The sequence below is a fragment of the Homo sapiens genome, chromosome 16 (assembly GCF_000001405.40).
Source record: "Homo sapiens chromosome 16, GRCh38.p14 Primary Assembly".
Classification (NCBI taxonomy): domain Eukaryota; kingdom Metazoa; phylum Chordata; class Mammalia; order Primates; family Hominidae; genus Homo; species Homo sapiens.
Window position 1 is genome coordinate 14,970,752 of NC_000016.10, and position 16,884 is coordinate 14,987,635.

Genomic DNA, 16,884 nt, shown 5'->3' on the forward strand with positions numbered 1-16,884 from the left:
GAAACATTGGGTGGAGGAGGAGGAAACTCCAAAAGACATTGAGAAGGAACAGGCAGAAAGGGAAGGTGACGATCCGGAGAATTTGATATTGTGGGAAGCATGGAAAGTCAGTTTCAAGAAGAAAGTGATCATCTGGTTCTAGGGCTGCTGAGAGGTCAGGTGTGATGGACTGAGATGGTTTTAGTGACACTGGTTTGGGTGGAGGGAACAAGGCCGAAGCTAGATTCAGATGAGTTGGTGGTGCTTGTGTGATGAGAAAATTGAGACCATTAGGTGTAACCAGAAGGGGATGTGGATGAAGATAAGGAGTTTTTATTTGCTTGTTTTTTGAGCATAAGAATGTTTAACAAACACTAAAAGGCAAGCATAACCAGAATTTTACAGATGAGGAAACTAATATACCAAGAGGTTAAGTAACTTGCCCAAGTAGTTTTCACTTATACAGCTTAAAAAAAAAAAAAAAAAAGAATCCAGTTCTACTTGTAGCCACAGTCTGAACTCTAACCAATGGGCTATACCATCGACAAGGGAAAAAACTGGCCCAGACATAATCCAATTTTTGTACCTTTGAGTTAAAAGTCTACAGTTGAGGCTGGGCCTGGTGTCTCACGCCTGTAATCCCAGCACTTTGGGAGGCCGAGGTGGGTGGACCACCTGAGATCAGGAGTTGGAGACTAGCCTGTCCAACTAGTGAAACCCCGTCTCTACTAAAAATACAAAAATTAGCCAGGCTTGGTGGCACGCACCTGTAATCCCAGCTACTCAGGAGGCTGAGGCAGGAGAATTGCTTGAACCCGGGAGGCGGAGCTTGCAGTGAGCAGAGATGGTGCCACTGCACTCCAGCCTGGCGACAGAACGAGACTCCATCTCAAAAAAAAGGAAAAAAGAGAAGTGTTTGAGGCCAGGCTCGGTGGCTCAGGCCTGTAATCCAAACACTTTGGGAGGCCGAGGCAGGAGGATCACTTGAGGTTGGGAGTTTGAGACCAGCCTGGCCAACATGGTAAGACCCTGTCTCTACTAAAAATACAGTGTGTGCGATGGCGCACGCCTCCAGTCGAAGCTACTCCGGGAGGCTGAGGCAGCAGAATCACTTGAACCGGGGAGGCAGAGGTTGCAGTGAGCCAAGACTGCGCCGTTACACTTCAGCCTGGACAACAGAGTGAGACTCGTCTGGAAAAAGAAAAAGAAAGAAAAAGACAGGTCTGTTAGCAGCACATAAAGCCATATGTCAGTAGAGATTAAACCTCCCCACAACTGATGGCTTCATGCTCCAAACTGTACAATATTCTGCTTATCTCTCTTCACTAGTCCATAGAATGTTGCATTATAATGTATCAGTTTTCCTATCTGTGCATCCACAAGCCAAATGGTTTCAACTTTTTTTTTTTTTTTTCGGGGATGGGGGAATCACAGACTTGAGTATATAATGAAGACAATGGATGTTTTCCCCAGAAAAATGCACTCACTCACACACAAAATGTTGAGTATAGTTTCAGAGACCTCCATCTGCATCCCAAAGTAAAAACTTCTACCCAAAATAGTGTTTTTCTTCAGGGCAGAGAGCTTGTCTTTGTTTTGTGTGTGTGTGTGTGTGTGTGTGTGTGTGTGTGTGTGTGTGTGTGTGTAGACGGAGTCTTGCTCTTGTCGTCCAGGCTGGAATGCAGTGGTGCAATCTTGGCTCACTGCAACCTCCGCCTCCCAGGTTGAAGCGATTCTGCTGCCTCAGCCTCCCGAGTAGCTGGGATTACAGGCGCACACCACCACACCCACTAATTTTTCTATTTTTAGTACAGACGAGGGTTTCACCATGTTGGCCACGCTGTTCTCCAACTCCTGACCTCAGGTGATCCGCCCACCTCGGCCTCTCAAAGTGCTGGGATTACAGGCATGAGCCACCGCGCCCAGCCTTTTTTAAATTTTTAAATTTTTTATTATATTTTGTTTTTGAGACAGAGTCTCGCTTTGTCGCCCAGGCTGGAGTGCAGTGGTGCGATCTCTGCTCACTGCAAGCTCCGCCTCCCGGGTTCACGCCATTCTCCTGCCTCAGCCTCCAGAATAGCTGGGACTACAGGCGCCCGCCACCATGCCCGGCTAATTTCTTTTTGTATTTTTGGTAGACACGGGGTTTCACCGTGTTAGCCAGGATGGTCTCGATCTCCTGACCTCGTGATCCGCCCGCCTCGGCCTCCCAAAGTGCTGGGATTACAGGCGTGAGCCACCGCGCCCGGCCCAGCCTCTTATTTGTATTTTTATTGTTTTTTGAGATGGAGTCTCGTCTTATTGCCCAGGCTGGAGCGCAGTGGCACAATCTCGGCTCACTGCAACCTCTGCCCCCGGGGTTCAAGTGATTCCCCTGCCTCAGCCTCCCAGGTAGCTGGGATTACAGGTGTTTGCCACCACGCCCAGCTAATTTTTTGTATTTTTAGTAGAGACGGAGTTTCACTCTGTTGGCCAGGCTGCTCTTGAACCAGCCTCTTATTCTTTTACATACTATTTCCAGCACAACTGTCCAAGATGGCAGTCAATAAATGTTTGGCTAAATATAATAAATAATACGGTTGATTATTTCCACTTTTTCATGTTGGGTTTTCAAAGTCTACTTTTAAAACAGTAAAGTTAACTTTTCTCTCTAGTATTTGTTTTGTAGAATCTATTATACTTTGTAATGTAATCCACAGAAACTTGGAGGTGACTTTAGTAAAATTTACTAGTTTTGAATGATACCCATGCTGAGGTGCTCAGAGGTGAAATGTACTAACATATATCGATGGATGGATATATGGATGCATATGTGATTAAAGCAAATATAGGGAAAATTAACTGTAGAATCTAGGTAGTGGGTATATGGTTGTTCACTGTACAACTGTTTAAACTTTTCTACGTTTGAAAAATTTCATAACACGTTGGAAAAGTGACTTGTTTTGCTCAAGCAGGGGTACATTCAATCTTCAATTCTTGAAAGACATAAATCTATCTTTCCTTCTGTTTGGAAAGCTCTTTAGAGAGTCAGAATAATCCCCACAGTACAGTCTAAACCAGCACACAAGGGTTTTTTGGTAGAAAATAATTTTATTAACATAACCAGGCAATTTACCAAATACAACGTAGATAGCTCAAAACATGGAGTTACTGCGCTGAAAATGTGACCCTGTTTACACAGATTTCGGGACGAAGAGTATAAAACAGGAGAGAAAAGGAGTAAGATTGTGGTTGTAGCGTCATCGCAGAGGTGAAGTGTTCCATTGATTGCCACTGTGGTAGTCTATATCAGTTTCCCACATTAAGGTGGGAGGAATCTACTAAGCAAATGTACGCCCTCCCCATTCGTTCGAAACACATTGCAGTAAAATTGCAAAAGTGGCCGGGCGTGGTAGCTCATGCCTGTAATCCCAGCACTTGGGGAAGCTGAGACGGGAAGATCGCCTGAGGCCAGGAGTTTGAAGCCAGCTTGGGTAACATAGTGAGACACCCCTACCTTCTCTATTAAAATGAGATTTTAATTTTTTTTCTCTTCAGTTCATCGGTTAACAAGATAAAAAAATTAATAAAAAATTAACTTTTTAAAACATTTAAAGTAAAGTAGGAGTGGAAGCAGTATGTGGACTCATGGGGCTTGGGTCTGAATCCTACCTAGATCGGCACTGCGAAATGGGGATAATGATCTCCTAGAGCTGCTGAAATAGGAAAATGGAAGAACAGCAGCTGATGTATTAATATTATCATTATTACTACTACCCATTACCTGACAAGTGATAATTGTGACATGAAAGAGGCTGGACCGGTTGTTACAACAATTTTTTCCGTCTAGAATTCGGCGGTAAGGTCTGAGACAACACCTCAGCTTAGATCAGTGCCTTCTCTGAACAGCGTTCACTAAGCAGCCCCCAACCCCAAAACCCCCAAGTCCCCGGGCGCCGAGGACGCTGCGAGTCCTGCGCATGCGCAAGGTTGCCCACTCGCTCACCGCCTCCTTGGCGAATGGCCTGTTCCATTCTCGAGGGATGCCGGCGGGAGGTGAGGCGGGAGACTTGGAAGCCTGGGCCCGGAAGTGAGGTGCGTCACTAGTATTTCCAGCCTTTCACTCCATGAATAGTACTTTGTGATTATTATACTTCTACCTTGATGATTGCAACAGGCTGCTGGAAAGAGTTTGGTGAACAATCCACCGGGCATCCTCCCCCCTTCACCTGCGCACGTTAGGGAGGGCCGGCGTGGCGCCCAGGTACGGAATCCCAGAGGGCTCCGCCCAGCGCTACGGGGCCCCGCCCCGCCGCCTCTCAACCATCAGGTTCGGCAGCCCGCGGCGCCGCCTGGCAGCTCCTCCTCTTCTCCGCCCCGCCGGCCGCGGGCGCGGGGGACGTCAGCGCTGCCAGCGTGGAAGGAGCTGCGGGGCGCGGGAGGAGGAAGTAGAGCCCGGGACCGCCAGGCCACCACCGGCCGCCTCAGCCATGGACGCGTCCCTGGAGAAGGTCCGTGCCGGGAGGGGGCGATGGGGACGGTGCTGCGGCCCGGGGCTCCCGCTTCCGAGGCAACTGTTTCCCAGTCGCGAGCTGCCATTGTGACCCGGACAGGGGGACGCGGGCTGACAGGCCCTGCCTGAGGAGGCCTCGCCGGGAGGGCGGCTGGGGCCCGGGCGCGTCACGGGGCCGGGTGTCTCTTGGGTCCCCGTGGGCCGAAGAGGCTGGGCGGGGTTCGGTGGGGGCCGCGACGGGCCCGGAGCCCAGGACTGGGACCGCGGGGCCGACCTTGGGCCCTGCCGAGGTTCCGCGAGTGGCCGGCCTGAGCTCGGCTGGCCCTTTCGGAGGACCGGGAGCTCTCCGTTGGCGGCCCCAGATGCTCCCGGAAAGAAGCCGCAGTTATTTCAGAGCCAGCTGCAAACCTGTAGGTTTTTCTTGGTCTCCGAGTTAGGAATGAAAATTGCCAAAGCAGTGGTTTTCCAACTTCAGCCTGAGTGGGAATCACCTGGGGCCTTTGGTAAAATGCGGAGGTTCAGTCCCGGGGTCAGAACCTCTGGGGGCGGGACCGGGAACTGCGTGTTTAACCGCCACCGCCCCGCTCCCACTCCGCCCCACGCAGGTGATTCTGATGCTGAGCCTGCGATCACCGGGCGAGAACCTCTGAGTTCCAGAAAGGGGTGGGTGTTGCGTAGATTGCGAATTGAGTTTTGGGGATCGCAGCTGCTCCACAACTTCCTGGCTCCCCCATTCCAGTGGCGAGGAGGGATCCCCGAGTCAACTCGAAATCCACTGGTAACAGAGCCTACCTCTGGTTTCCCCTTGGGGGAACGGCAGCGTGGTGTACCAGGCTGACTGCTCTACCATGTGAAACGGATTCTCATTGTCCCAGTGTTAGGGCTTGTAAATGGAAACCAGTTTGGGTTTCTTCACGGATTCCTGCTTTCGGTACCTGACATTCTGCCCTCCCTCAAAGCCCTTCTGTCTGTTCCAGCTTGGGAGTCTGCTTGTCCAATCCAGTGCATACCCGGTTTTTCATGCATGTGGCATTCAGGAGCAATGCTCGTGTTTTAAGACGGCTACATTTTAATTTTGAGCTGGTAGGAATAATATATTTTGTCTTTTTTCAAGGCAGCAGCTGCTGTAGATTTTGTTCACTTGTCACTGGAGAGTTGAAGGCAATAATTGTAAAGGTTGGGCCAGATGTCTTCATGTGCTCACAGTGGTATAGCCTACTCCTGGGTTGCTTAGCATAAATTGGGTGGAAGACAAGAAAAAGATAATATGGTTTTCTTGTGCCATCTCTGGGGTGAATGTTACGTGTTTTCCTGGCTGGGAATAAAGTCTTTCCGGTCGTCTGATTAGCAGGGTGTCTACCTTTTGGTACTTTGAGTTTGTCCAGATGAGTGGTTCTTAAAGCAGGGGGCAATTTATTTCCCCAGGAGACATTTGGCTATCTCTGGACATAGTTTTGATTGTCACAATGGGGGCAGGGAGGTGCTGCCGGTACCTAGTGGGTAGAGGCCAGGGACGCCTCTAAACATCCTACGTTGCACAGGACAGCCCCCCACGCTGGAGAATTCTCTGGCCCAAAATGTCAGCAGTGTTGAGGCTGAGAAATCCTGGTCAAGATCATGTTTATAACACCAGCAGTTGAGTACAAAACGATGCAAAGTGGTGTTATCAATTTCCTAAGAAGGTGGGTGGGCTTCATGTGATTGTAATTGGAATCCTGAAGAACTGGGGTGATCTTTCCTCCAGGAATAATTAGCCTTTATAGGAAAATCTGCAGGGTGGGTCAGAATCCTGCTTTAAATATTACTTTTCTGGCATTTGATCAGTAGGTTACAGTAGTTGCTCCCTAAGTGTTAATTGATGATAAAAGATCTTAAACTCTCTCAATGAGGATCGCAAGAGGGACTGAAATTCCAGTGTGTTTAATATTGGAGCATTCACAAAAATTGTAGTGATCTTTTAGGAATTCAGAACGTGTGGGCTGGAGGTTTCTGCCTTAGGTCAATGTGAAAATTCTGAGTGTAAGTTTTTCAGAACTATGGGACTTACTTTTTTTTTTTTTTTTTTTTTTTTTTTTGAGAGGGAGTCTCGGTCTCTTGCCCAGGCTGGAGTGCAGTGAGGCGATCTCGGATCCCTGCAACCTCCGCCTCCCGGATTCAAGTGATTCTCCTGCCTCAGCCTCCCGAGCAGCTGTGACTACAGGCGTGTGACACCACACCCGACTAATTTTTGTATTCCCAGTAGAGATGGGGTTTCACCACGTTGGTCAGGATGGTCTCAAACGCCTGACCTTGTGATCCTTCAGCCTCAGCCTCCCACGGTGCTGGGATTACAGGCGTAAGCCACTGCACCTGGCCGGGACTTAGATTTATATTCCCTGAAGTAATACAGGGCCTTAGATGGAATAAACGATTTATATTGGTGCTAATTGGGCAGAAAAGAAAAAGCATTGCTGTAATATGAATGTTGATGACTTTATGTTCTGAAAAATAGTCTGGGTCAAAGTGAAACATTTAATTGTGTTCATTATTCCTGTTTCTTTGAGGAATAGACTATCCTGCGTTAAATTCTACATTGTTAATATAAACTCAAGAGCTATGTGAGCAGTTGTAAATGATCCCATTTAAACTGATTGTTGCATAATTTATACTGATTACAGAAACCACAATGTTATTTGATGCTCACCCTCTAAAATTTAAAATAATATCTCTCACTTTAAAATGTATGTGAAAAAACAAAAACAAAATGTAGTATGCGATCATCATTTAGTAGAATCACTCAGTGATTTGGATTTGGTCCAAATATAGTTCTGTCCCTTGCTTTTTCTGTTATGTAAACGTGCAGACCTGTGATAACAGAGCCATTTTCTCGTCACGATTTGCTTTTCTTCCACAACAGTATCAGTTTTCTTGTATCTGAGATCAGTGATGTCCCAATAAATCAGATGGGTTAATTGAGGAGGCAAAGGAAATTCAAACTTAGGAGAGTAGGAGTAGGGGCTTTGCCCCTGCCCCCCACTGTATGTCCAAGGCATAAGGAACAAGGCCCTGTAGCAGAGTCTCACAGTGTGTACTTATGTTAATATTCAATAAGGAAAATGCCACAGGAAGTAATCACTATAATGATGAAGATTTTAAGTTATTAAACACACCTTCCAGTAAAAACCTGTTATATTATTATTATTTTTGAGACAGGATCTCTCTCTGTCACCCAGGCTGGAGAGCCGTGGTACAATCTCGGCTCACTGCAACGTCCGTCTCCAGGGCTCAAGTGATCCTCGCGCCTCAGCCTCCTGAGTAGCTGGGACTACAGGCACTCACCCCCACACTGAGCTAATTAAAACAATTTTTTTGTTCTCGAGACAAGGTCTCACTATATTGCCCAGGCTGGTCCCAACCTCCTGGGCTGAAGCCATCCTCTTGCCTTAGCCTCCCAAAGTGCTGGGATTATAAGCGTGAGCCACCGTGCCAGGCCAAAACCTGCTACTCTAAACTTGTAGAATAGCCCAGACCTTTTTCTGTTGGTTAAAAGATCTCATTCTTCCTGGGTATTATGTTTAGGCAAGGTATACTGCAGTTTGTTTGCATTTACTTTAATTCTGTCCTTGAGCAAACTTAAAGCAGTTTCTCAGCGTCAGCACTAGTGATATTTTGGGTCAGATAATTTGCTGTTATGGGGGCTGGCCTGTGCATGGCAGCATGCTTAGCAGTGTCCCAGACCTCTGCTCAGTAGATGCTAGTCGCACTCCCTACACCCAGTTGTAACAATAAGAAATGTCTCAAGATGGGGGCAGTTGTCCCCCAAGGGGTAGAGGGAATTGCCTGTCATTGAAAGTCCCTAATTTAGGGAATCTAGAGCTACAGTTCCGGTTTGGTCACCACTAGCCATATTTGGCAGTTTACATTGAGATTAAAATTAAACACAATTTAAAATTCATTTCCTCAGTCATGCTAGCCACATTTCAAGTGCTCAGCAGCCACATGTGGCTGATGTCTGCTACACTGGGCAGCACAGATGTGGAACATTTCCATCGCAAAGAAGGTTCCACTGGACAGTGCTAAGAGCTGGCAATTCGTGTTTTTTTTTTGAGATGGAGTCTCCCTCTGACGCCCAGGCTAGAGTGCAGTGGCACAGTCTCTGCTCACTGCAACCTCTGCTTTCCGGGTTCAAGCGATTCTCCTGCCTCAGCCTCTCAAGTAGCTGGGATTACAGGCACCCACCACCACACCTGGCTAATTTTTGTATTTTTAGTAGGGATGGGATTTCACCATATTGACCAGGCTGGTCTCAAGCTCCTGACCTCAAGTGATCCACCCGCCTCGGCCTCCCAAAGTGCTGGGGTTACAGGCATGAGCTACTGTGCCCAGCCAATTACTTGTTATATCTAATTCTCATCTCTGAAAGAGGCAACTTTGACCCTGTTTCTGACCTAAATCAGCACAACTCAGCCCATTTTTGGTTCTTGAACTCATCCTGAGCTAAGTGTTTCTTTCCTGCTATTTGGGACTGATTTTAGAAAATTCTTTGTCACCTTGCTGTTATGCTAGAGGTTTATAGCAGCATCAATGGAACATTCCTGATCATTACTTACTGATAAGGACTCCGAGAATTTCTATTCCTGCTCCTTCCTTAAAAAGCATGAGAAAAGAACCCCTGTTAGGCAAGGTTGAAATGACCAGTTTCCGTGTATGGCTTTGTAGATCCCACTCTTTTATATAGAATGAGAGGAGATGAGAGGCTGTAATTGTAGCTTTCATATAAAGCCAATTCCAATGTTACAATGTGAGGGTTTTGCATACAGATGCATGGTGGCTATGGCTGTAAATGATTATCTAATACTGGCTGTCAGGGAAAACTGATGGGACTCGGCCATAGTACAAAGTTCCTGATCCTAGATATTTATGGCTTTGTTCATTCTTGATTTATTCAATTTTGCAGGGGAAGTCAGTGGCAGAGCTATTGATGGTCCCATTTCCGTCTTTGCTCCACTATATCTAGGATTATATGAGTTATAGGTAGAAGTTGGTTGAGCTTGATTTCATCTGTTGTCACCTAAAGCAGAAACCTGTTTTGATTTATAATTTTTTTTTTTTGAGACGGAATCTTGCTCTGTCACCCAGGCTGGAGTGCAGTGGTGCGATCTCAGCTCTATGCGACCTCTGCCCCACTGCAACCTCTGCCCCCTGGGTTCAAGCAATTCTCCTGCCTCAGCTTCCCGAGTAGATGGGATTATTTTTGTGCCACGCCCGGCTAATTTTTGTTTTTTTTATTTTTTATTTTTTTGAGATGGAGTCTCGCCCTGTGGCCTAGGCTGGAGTGCAGTGGCACAGTCTCGGCTCACTGCAAGCTCCACCTCCCAGGTTCACGCCATTCTTCTGCCTCAGCTGGGACTACAGGCGCCCACCACCACACCCAGCTAATTTTTTGTATTTTTAGTAGAGATGTGGTTTCACCAAGTGTTAGCCAGGATGGTCTCGATCTCCTGACCTCCACCTCAGCCTCCCAAAGTTCTGGGATTACAGGCATGAGCCACCGCGCCTGGCCAATTTTTGTATTTTTAATAGAGACGGGGTTTCGCCATGTTGGCCAGGCTGGTCTCCAACTCCTGACCTCAAGTAATCTGCCCACCTTGGCCTCCCAAAGTGCTGGGATTACAGATGTAAGCCACTGCACCCGGCCTTGATTTATAATTTTTATTAATCGAAGGTGAGCTGTGGTCAAAGCCCAATGCTGAGTGCTGACAGAGACACAAGGTGAGTAAGATGTGGCCCCTGCAGGAGGTTGCGTTCTGGTAAGGGAGTATACTTTTTTTTGGACAAATCCTTGTATAGAAAGGGATAAAAAGCATAGGAATTAAGAAACAAATTGTGAGTGCAAGGAGCAAGTGACCAGGAAGGATTATGTGAAAGAGATTCTTTAGGCAGAATATTTAGCTCAGAATTATGCTTTTCTAGAGTTTAATTGTAAATATAATGCAAACCTTTACTTTACGAGTGTGCCTCATATTATTGCTGGTAGATAAAAATCAAGAAACAGGAAAAGCATTTCATCTTTACCTTTCCGATTTGATCGCTCCCTAACAATCCCTGAACAAGGTAAATCCTGAATGGTGATAATCATTCAACCTTCATCTCTGCTAAAAGCATTTCTTTTCCTCCCAGGCAAAAACAAACAGTGCCTGCTGTCTAGCACTAGTTAAACTAGTTAAACACTGCCTATAAAGCTTATCTTAAGGAAGAGTTATAACAGTATCTGCTTCTGTTTAGCAGTTTTCTTTTTGTTCCAGAATAAAGGTGTGATTCCAGGTAAACAGTAAAGTTTTTAGAAATAGAGCTTCCCTATTGTATGCTATTTTTCCATCAGTGTCATTATCTGGAAGTGTTTACTCGTGTTATAAGATCTGTGTGAACTGACACTGCAGTAGTGGTCTCTGGGAACACAGGTTTTTGGAACACGGAGTTGGATCTCTAGCATCTCCAACGTATATCTGAGTCAAGTGATTAGAGGCTTTTTCCCTCCTTCACATACTGCTCTCTGACTGAGATGTGATCTGTGCAGTTAACTTTGCTGCCTCCTTTCCACTGTTGGGTATTTTTGTCCTTTTCTTTTGTTTCTTTTTTTTTTTTGAGATGGAGTTTTGCTCTTGTTGCCCAGGCTGGACTGCAGTGGTGCGATCTTGGTTCACTGTAACCTCTGCCTCTGGGTTCAAGCAATTCTCCTGTCTTAGCCTCCTGAGTAGCTGGGATTACAGGCGCCCACCACCGCGCCCAGCTAATTTTTTGTATTTTTAGTAGAGACAGGGTTTCATCATGTTGGCCAGGCTGGTCTTGAACTCTGTACCTCAGGTGGGCCACTGCACCCGGCCTATTTTTGCCCTTTTCTTTCCTATTTTCTGCCTATCTTCTTGAGGAATTTGTAAGGTTAAATACTTATAGTTACACCTTATACAGTACTTGGCTAACCCTTTTCAACTAGGAAGATTATGATGCTTAATCTTAATGAGCCAGTAATTACAGTATGTCTTCATATTCTCACAGACACACTCAAGCGTAGAGACCATGATGGTTAAAAATAAGACTTTCAAATGACAATATCCAGTTCTTAGAAGATGAGAGGAGACGGCTGAGCATGGTGGCTCATGCCTGTACTCCCAGCACTTTGGGAGGCCGAGGTGGGTGGATCACCTGAGGTCAGGAGTTCGAGACCAGCCTGGCCCACGTGGTGAAACCCCATCTCTACTAAAAATACAAAAATTAGCCAGGTGTGGTGGCTCACGCCTGTAGTCCCAGCTACTCAGGAGATTGTGCCACTGCAACAGAGTGAGACTCCATCTCAAAAAAAAAAGAAGATGGGAGGAGACAAAAGTTCTGGTTCTTAAATACTGTACTGTTGAATCAGGCAAAAATACTTACAAATGTAGAAACTGAGACTCCAATAAGATAAACCAGGTTTACAAGTCACTGTATCAGCTTGGAGGATTCCTGTCCTCTTCTCTCATCCTTGGCCCATAAGGAACATTATGTTCTTGCTGTGGCTTCTCAGTGGTATGTATTATAATAGACGTGTGTGGTGTTTGGGGAACTTGTTTAACTAGTGCTAGACAGCAGGCACTGTTTGTTTTCGCCTGGGAGGAAAAGAAATGCTTTTTGCAGAGATGAAGGTTGAATGATGATCACTATTCAGGATTTACCTTGTTCAGAAAGCTGTGGGAGGCAAGAGTAGTTAAGTTAGGAACAGCTGTCTGGAGCTTTACCTCTTGCTTTTTATCTCAGCCGAAGGTAGGTAGTGATTTTTTTTATGTCTAATGCATATGGTATAAACTAGCATCTCATAACTCCAAGGTCTTCTAATATGAGCAGCTGGTTTCTCTTTAGTTAGCCCTAAGAGGCCTCTGAAATAAGTCCTAAAAGTCCCCCAAATAAGAACATTCCTCTCCTGAAAAAAAAACTTTGTTGAAACGAAAGTATTATATACTTCTAGCATTGATGAATGTTACAATTAATATACTTTTAAAAATAAATTTTAGACTTTCTTTGTTATAGAGGCTGCTTCTCTTAAAAGCCTTCTCTTGGCCGGGTATGGTGGCTCATGCCTGTAATCTCATCACTTTGGGAGGCCGAGGCGGGCAGATCATGAGGTCAGGAGATCGAGGCCATCATGGCTAACATGGTGAAACCCCGTCTCTACTAAAAATACAAAAAAACTAGCCGGGTGTCGTGGCATGTGCCTGTGGTCCCAGCTAATTGGGAGGCTGAGGCAGGAGAATCGCTTGAACCCGGGAGGCGGAGGTTGCAGTGAGCCGAGATCATGCCACTGTACTCCAGCCTAGGCGACAGAGCAAGACTCCGTCTCAAAAAAAAAAAAAAAAAAAAAAAAAAAGCCTTCTCTTTGAAGGCTTAGCTCTGTATGTCTTAAACAGCAGTTATTCATGTCAGTTATTCATGTACCATCTGTGAATTTGGCCACATCACTGTACCACCTATACTATTATTTGCTTAGTATTTTCTTTTAAATCTACTTTACATCAATTTACTCCCCCTTTATGAAAAATTGAGGAACCGTTTACTTACAACAAATAGACCCATTTTAATTATATAGTTTGTGTTTTGGAAGTTGTATATAGTGATATTACCACCAGCATGATCAAGATACAAAGCATTGACCTGGTGCAGTGGCTCACACCTGTAATTTCAACACTTTGGGAGGCCAAGGAAGGAGGATCTCTTGAGCCCAGGAGTTTGAGGGCAGCCAGGGCAACACAGTGAGACTCCTATCTCTATAAAAAATAAAAACTTAGCCAGGCTTGGTGGCATGCACCTGTAGTCCCAGCTACTTGGGAGGCTGAGGTGAGAGGATCGCTTGAGCCCAGGAGGGTGAGGCTGCAGGGAGCCACGATAGTGCCGCTGCACTTGGCCTGGGTGACAGAGTGAGACCCTGTCTCAGAAAATAAGTCCCCTACCCACCCACCCCAAAAAAGGTACAGAGCATTTCTGTCTCCCTGAAAATGTCCCTATGTCCCTTTGCAGTGGATCCCTGCCCTGCTTTCTGTCACTCTAGACCTCTTTACCCACCCATCCCATCCCTGCACCCCCGCCTTTTTTTTTTTTTTTTTTTTTAACTTAGATTTGTCCTCAACTGTAATGTCTCTAAATTCTGGGATTTGAGGTGTGTGTTTGTGTGGGTTTTTTTTTTTTTTTCCAAATCACATAAAAGTGAGAGAGAGAGAGAGAGAGAGTGTGTGTGTGTGTGTGTATACATATATATATATATATATATTTTTTTTTTTTTTTTTTCTGAGACGGACTCTCACCCTGTCGCCCAGGCTGGAGTGCAATGGCGCCATCTCGGTTCACTGCAACCTCCGCCTCCCGGGTTCAAACGATTCTCCTGCCTCAGCCTCCTGAGTAGCTGGGGTTACAGGCACACCACCACGCCCAGGTAATTTTTTGTATCTTTAGTAGAGACGAGATTTCACCATGTTGGACAGGCTGGTCTCAAACTCCTATCGTGATCCGCCCGCCTCTGCCTCCCAAAGTGCCAGAATTACAGGCATGAGCCACCGCTGCCAGCCAAATGTATAATTTTTTAAATTCACACTTTGGTGAACTGGTTTAACTGAGGAAAAGTGTTGATTCGTGTGTTTTCAAAAGATGAAATTTTTTTTTTTCCCCTGAAACAGAGTCTTGCTCTGTCACCTAGGCTGGAGTGCAGTGGTGCATTCTTGGCTCACTGCAACCTCTACCTCCTGGGTTCAAGCGATTCTCCTGCCTCAGCTTCCTGAGTAGCTGGGATTACAGGTGCCCGCCATTGCACACGACTAGTTTTTGTATTTTTAGTAGAGATGGATGGGGTTTTACCATCTTGGCCAGGCTGGTCTCGAACTCCTGACTTCGTGATCTGCCCACCCCGGCCTCCCAAAGTGCTGGGATTACAGGTGTGAGCCACTGCCTAAGATGAAAAAATTTTTAAAGTGACTAGTTCATTAATTCCCAAATCTTAGGCTCTAAAGACACCTTTTATTTCTATTGTAGTTACCAGTTTTGGAAGATATGATAAACAACTTTTTTTTTTTTTTTTTTTTTTTTGAGACGGAGTCTTGGTCTGTCGCCCAGGCTGGAGTGCAGTGGCACAATCTCGGCTTACTGCAAGCTCCGCCTCCCGGGTTCACGCCATTCTCCTGCCTCAGCCTCCCTAGTAGCTGGGACTACAGGCGCCCGCCAGCACACCTGGCTAATTTTTTGTATTTCTAGTAGAGACGGGGTTTCTACTGTGTTAGCCAGGATGGTCTCCATCTGACCTCGTGATCCACCTGCCTCGGCCTCCCAAAGTGCTGGGATTACAGGTGTGAGCCACCGCGCCTGGCCTTGCCAATTTATAATTTTCCGTTAGCTTTTTTGAAAAGTTGAGAGTTGCTCCTTGACCTCCTTTACCATCTTACCTTGCATTTGATTCTTGACTTTTCCTCCAACATTTAAATTGTCAGAACTTTTAAGCAATTTTAACATTACATATGTAATATTTCTTCTGGTAGTGAGGGAGTATTTTAATATCCCATACTGTCTGATAAAAATCGCCTAGCATAAAAACGATTCTTGGCCAGGCACTGTGGCCCACATTTCTAATCTCAGCACTTTGGGAGGCCAAGGCAGGAGGATTGCTCGTGAAGCCAGGAGTTTGAGATCAGCCTGGGTGACATAGTAGGACCATGTCTCTCCAAAAAATTTTTAAAAATTAGCTAAGTGTGGTGGCATGTGCCTGTAGCCATGTCTGCTCAGGGGGCTGAGGTTAGAGGATCACTTGAGCCCAGGAACTCAAGGCTGCAGCCAGCTATGATCACGCCACTGTGACAGCCTGGACAATAGAGCGAGGTCATGTCTCAAAAAAAAAAAAAGTTTGTAAAAAATGCTCACGAAGGTATGAATAGTAGGGCTTGTTTTATAAAATGAGCTAACTATTAAAGTCTCAGTTCTGGCTGGGTGCAGAGGCTCACGCCTGTAATCCCAGCACTTTGGGAGGCCAAGGCAGGCAGATTATCTGAGGGCAGGAGTTTGACCCGGCCAACATGGTAAGATCCCGTCTCTACTAAAAATACAAAAAAATTAGCTGGGCGTGATGGCGGGCACCTGGAATCCCAGCTACTCAGGAGGCTGAGGCAGCAGAATCACTTGAACCCGGGAGGCGGAGGTTGCAGTGAGCCGAGATCAAGCCACTGCACTCCAGCCTGGGAGACAGAATGAGACTGCATCTCGAAAAAAGTCTCAGTTCTGTGACAGTGAGCATGCAATTGAATGGCTCTTCTTAGGAAAGGAGAATTAAATCATACCTATCATGCAACTGTGTTAGATAAAATTGTAGCAAAAATATTGAACCCACGTCATTTATACAACAGAATTAACTGTACTTGAAATATAATTTATGAATTTGTAGAGAGGTAAAACTGTGTCTAAATTCTCAGCAATTAGTATCTATCAGAAAATGTGCATGTAGATATACCCACTCTGTAAATGCTTTGTTGCACTTTTTTTGGTTTTGGGATTTTTGTTTGAGACAGAGTCTTGCTCTGCTGCCCAGGCTAGAGTGCAGTGGCGCGTTCTTGGCTAACTGCAAGCTCCGCCTCCCAGGTTCGAGTGATTCTTGTGCCTCAGCCTCCTGAGTAGCTGGGACTACAGGCGCACACCGCCACGTCCAGCTAATATTTGTATTTTTAGTAGAGACGGGGTTTCACCATGTTGGCCAGGCTGGTCTCAAACTCTTGACATTGGGTGATCTGCCCTGCTTTGGCCTCCCAAAGTGCTGGTTTTACAGGTGTGAGCCACCATGCGTGGCCATGCTTTCACTCTTAAAAATGCTTGGGTTTAAGAGTTGGTGGAAAAAGGAAAAAAAAAAAATGCCCTGATCTGGATGATGAGTTTACGGCCATCTGGTTGAGACTGTTGTAAAGTAGAAATTTTCCCTGTAAAGTGTCACTTTCTTCCCAGGTGAAAACATTAATCAAGCAAGGATAATCTTTAAAATTAAACCTTAGTTCTAAATATGATTTTTGAGTACAAGCTTTTTTAAAGTGTTGAGTTGCTTCATTTACTTACTTGATAAAATTGAGAAGCAGTATTGCCCAGTGGTTAAGAGCACTGGTCCTAGAATTTTACTTAGTTTTAAATTCTGGCTCTAAAATGTACTATGATTTGGGGCTTGTGAGGAAGTAATGTGTGTAGAGGCGTTAATTATTAGCACAATGCCTGGAATATAGTAAGCAACCCAGTAAGTATTAGTAATTATAAGGATCATAAATCTGATTGAATATTTACTCTGTGTCTGACCCTGCACTCAGTGCTAAGGGATTCAGAAATTATTTGACATTCTTCCGAGGAACTTGACATAGAATACTGTTTTTCCTTTGTTTTTTTGTTTTTTGAGA

The 16,884-nt window shown here is 45.6% G+C and overlaps 1 protein-coding gene across 23 annotated transcripts in view, besides 2 other annotated features; it reads left to right on the plus strand.

Moving 5' to 3' along the window:
- Window positions 3,141–3,435: a silencer, noted in NCBI's record as "tiled region #4661; HepG2 Repressive non-DNase unmatched - State 4:PromP, and K562 Repressive DNase matched - State 5:Enh". NCBI's record gives its function as "represses a minimal TATA promoter and a strong SV40 promoter by Sharpr-MPRA in HepG2 and K562 cells {active_cell/tissue: HepG2 | K562}" and the evidence as "EXISTENCE:reporter gene assay evidence [ECO:0000049][PMID:27701403]".
- Window positions 3,593–4,356: an enhancer, noted in NCBI's record as "H3K27ac hESC enhancer chr16:15068201-15068964 (GRCh37/hg19 assembly coordinates)". NCBI's record gives its function as "activates a minimal SCP1, AML or CMV promoter by ChIP-STARR-seq in naive and primed H9 embryonic stem cells {active_cell/tissue: H9 hESC(naive and primed)}" and the evidence as "EXISTENCE:reporter gene assay evidence [ECO:0000049][PMID:30033119]".
- The window catches only part of PDXDC1 (pyridoxal dependent decarboxylase domain containing 1), a 178,484-nt gene continuing 165,583 nt past the window's right edge, over window positions 3,984–16,884 (plus strand). For 9 of the 23 annotated variants that reach the window (NM_001285449.2, NM_001324021.2, NM_001324020.2 and 6 more), the window contains exon 1: window positions 4,275–4,469. In NM_001285449.2, coding sequence (NP_001272378.1) covers window positions 4,449–4,469 — 21 coding nt within the window. In that variant the 5' untranslated portion in view covers window positions 4,275–4,448. Of the gene's footprint in view, window positions 4,223–4,274; window positions 4,882–10,131; window positions 10,223–13,767; window positions 13,908–16,884 lie in introns of those variants that run through there. The other 14 variants (XM_024450194.2, XM_017023065.2, XM_047433790.1 and 11 more) reach the window with 7 other exon arrangements.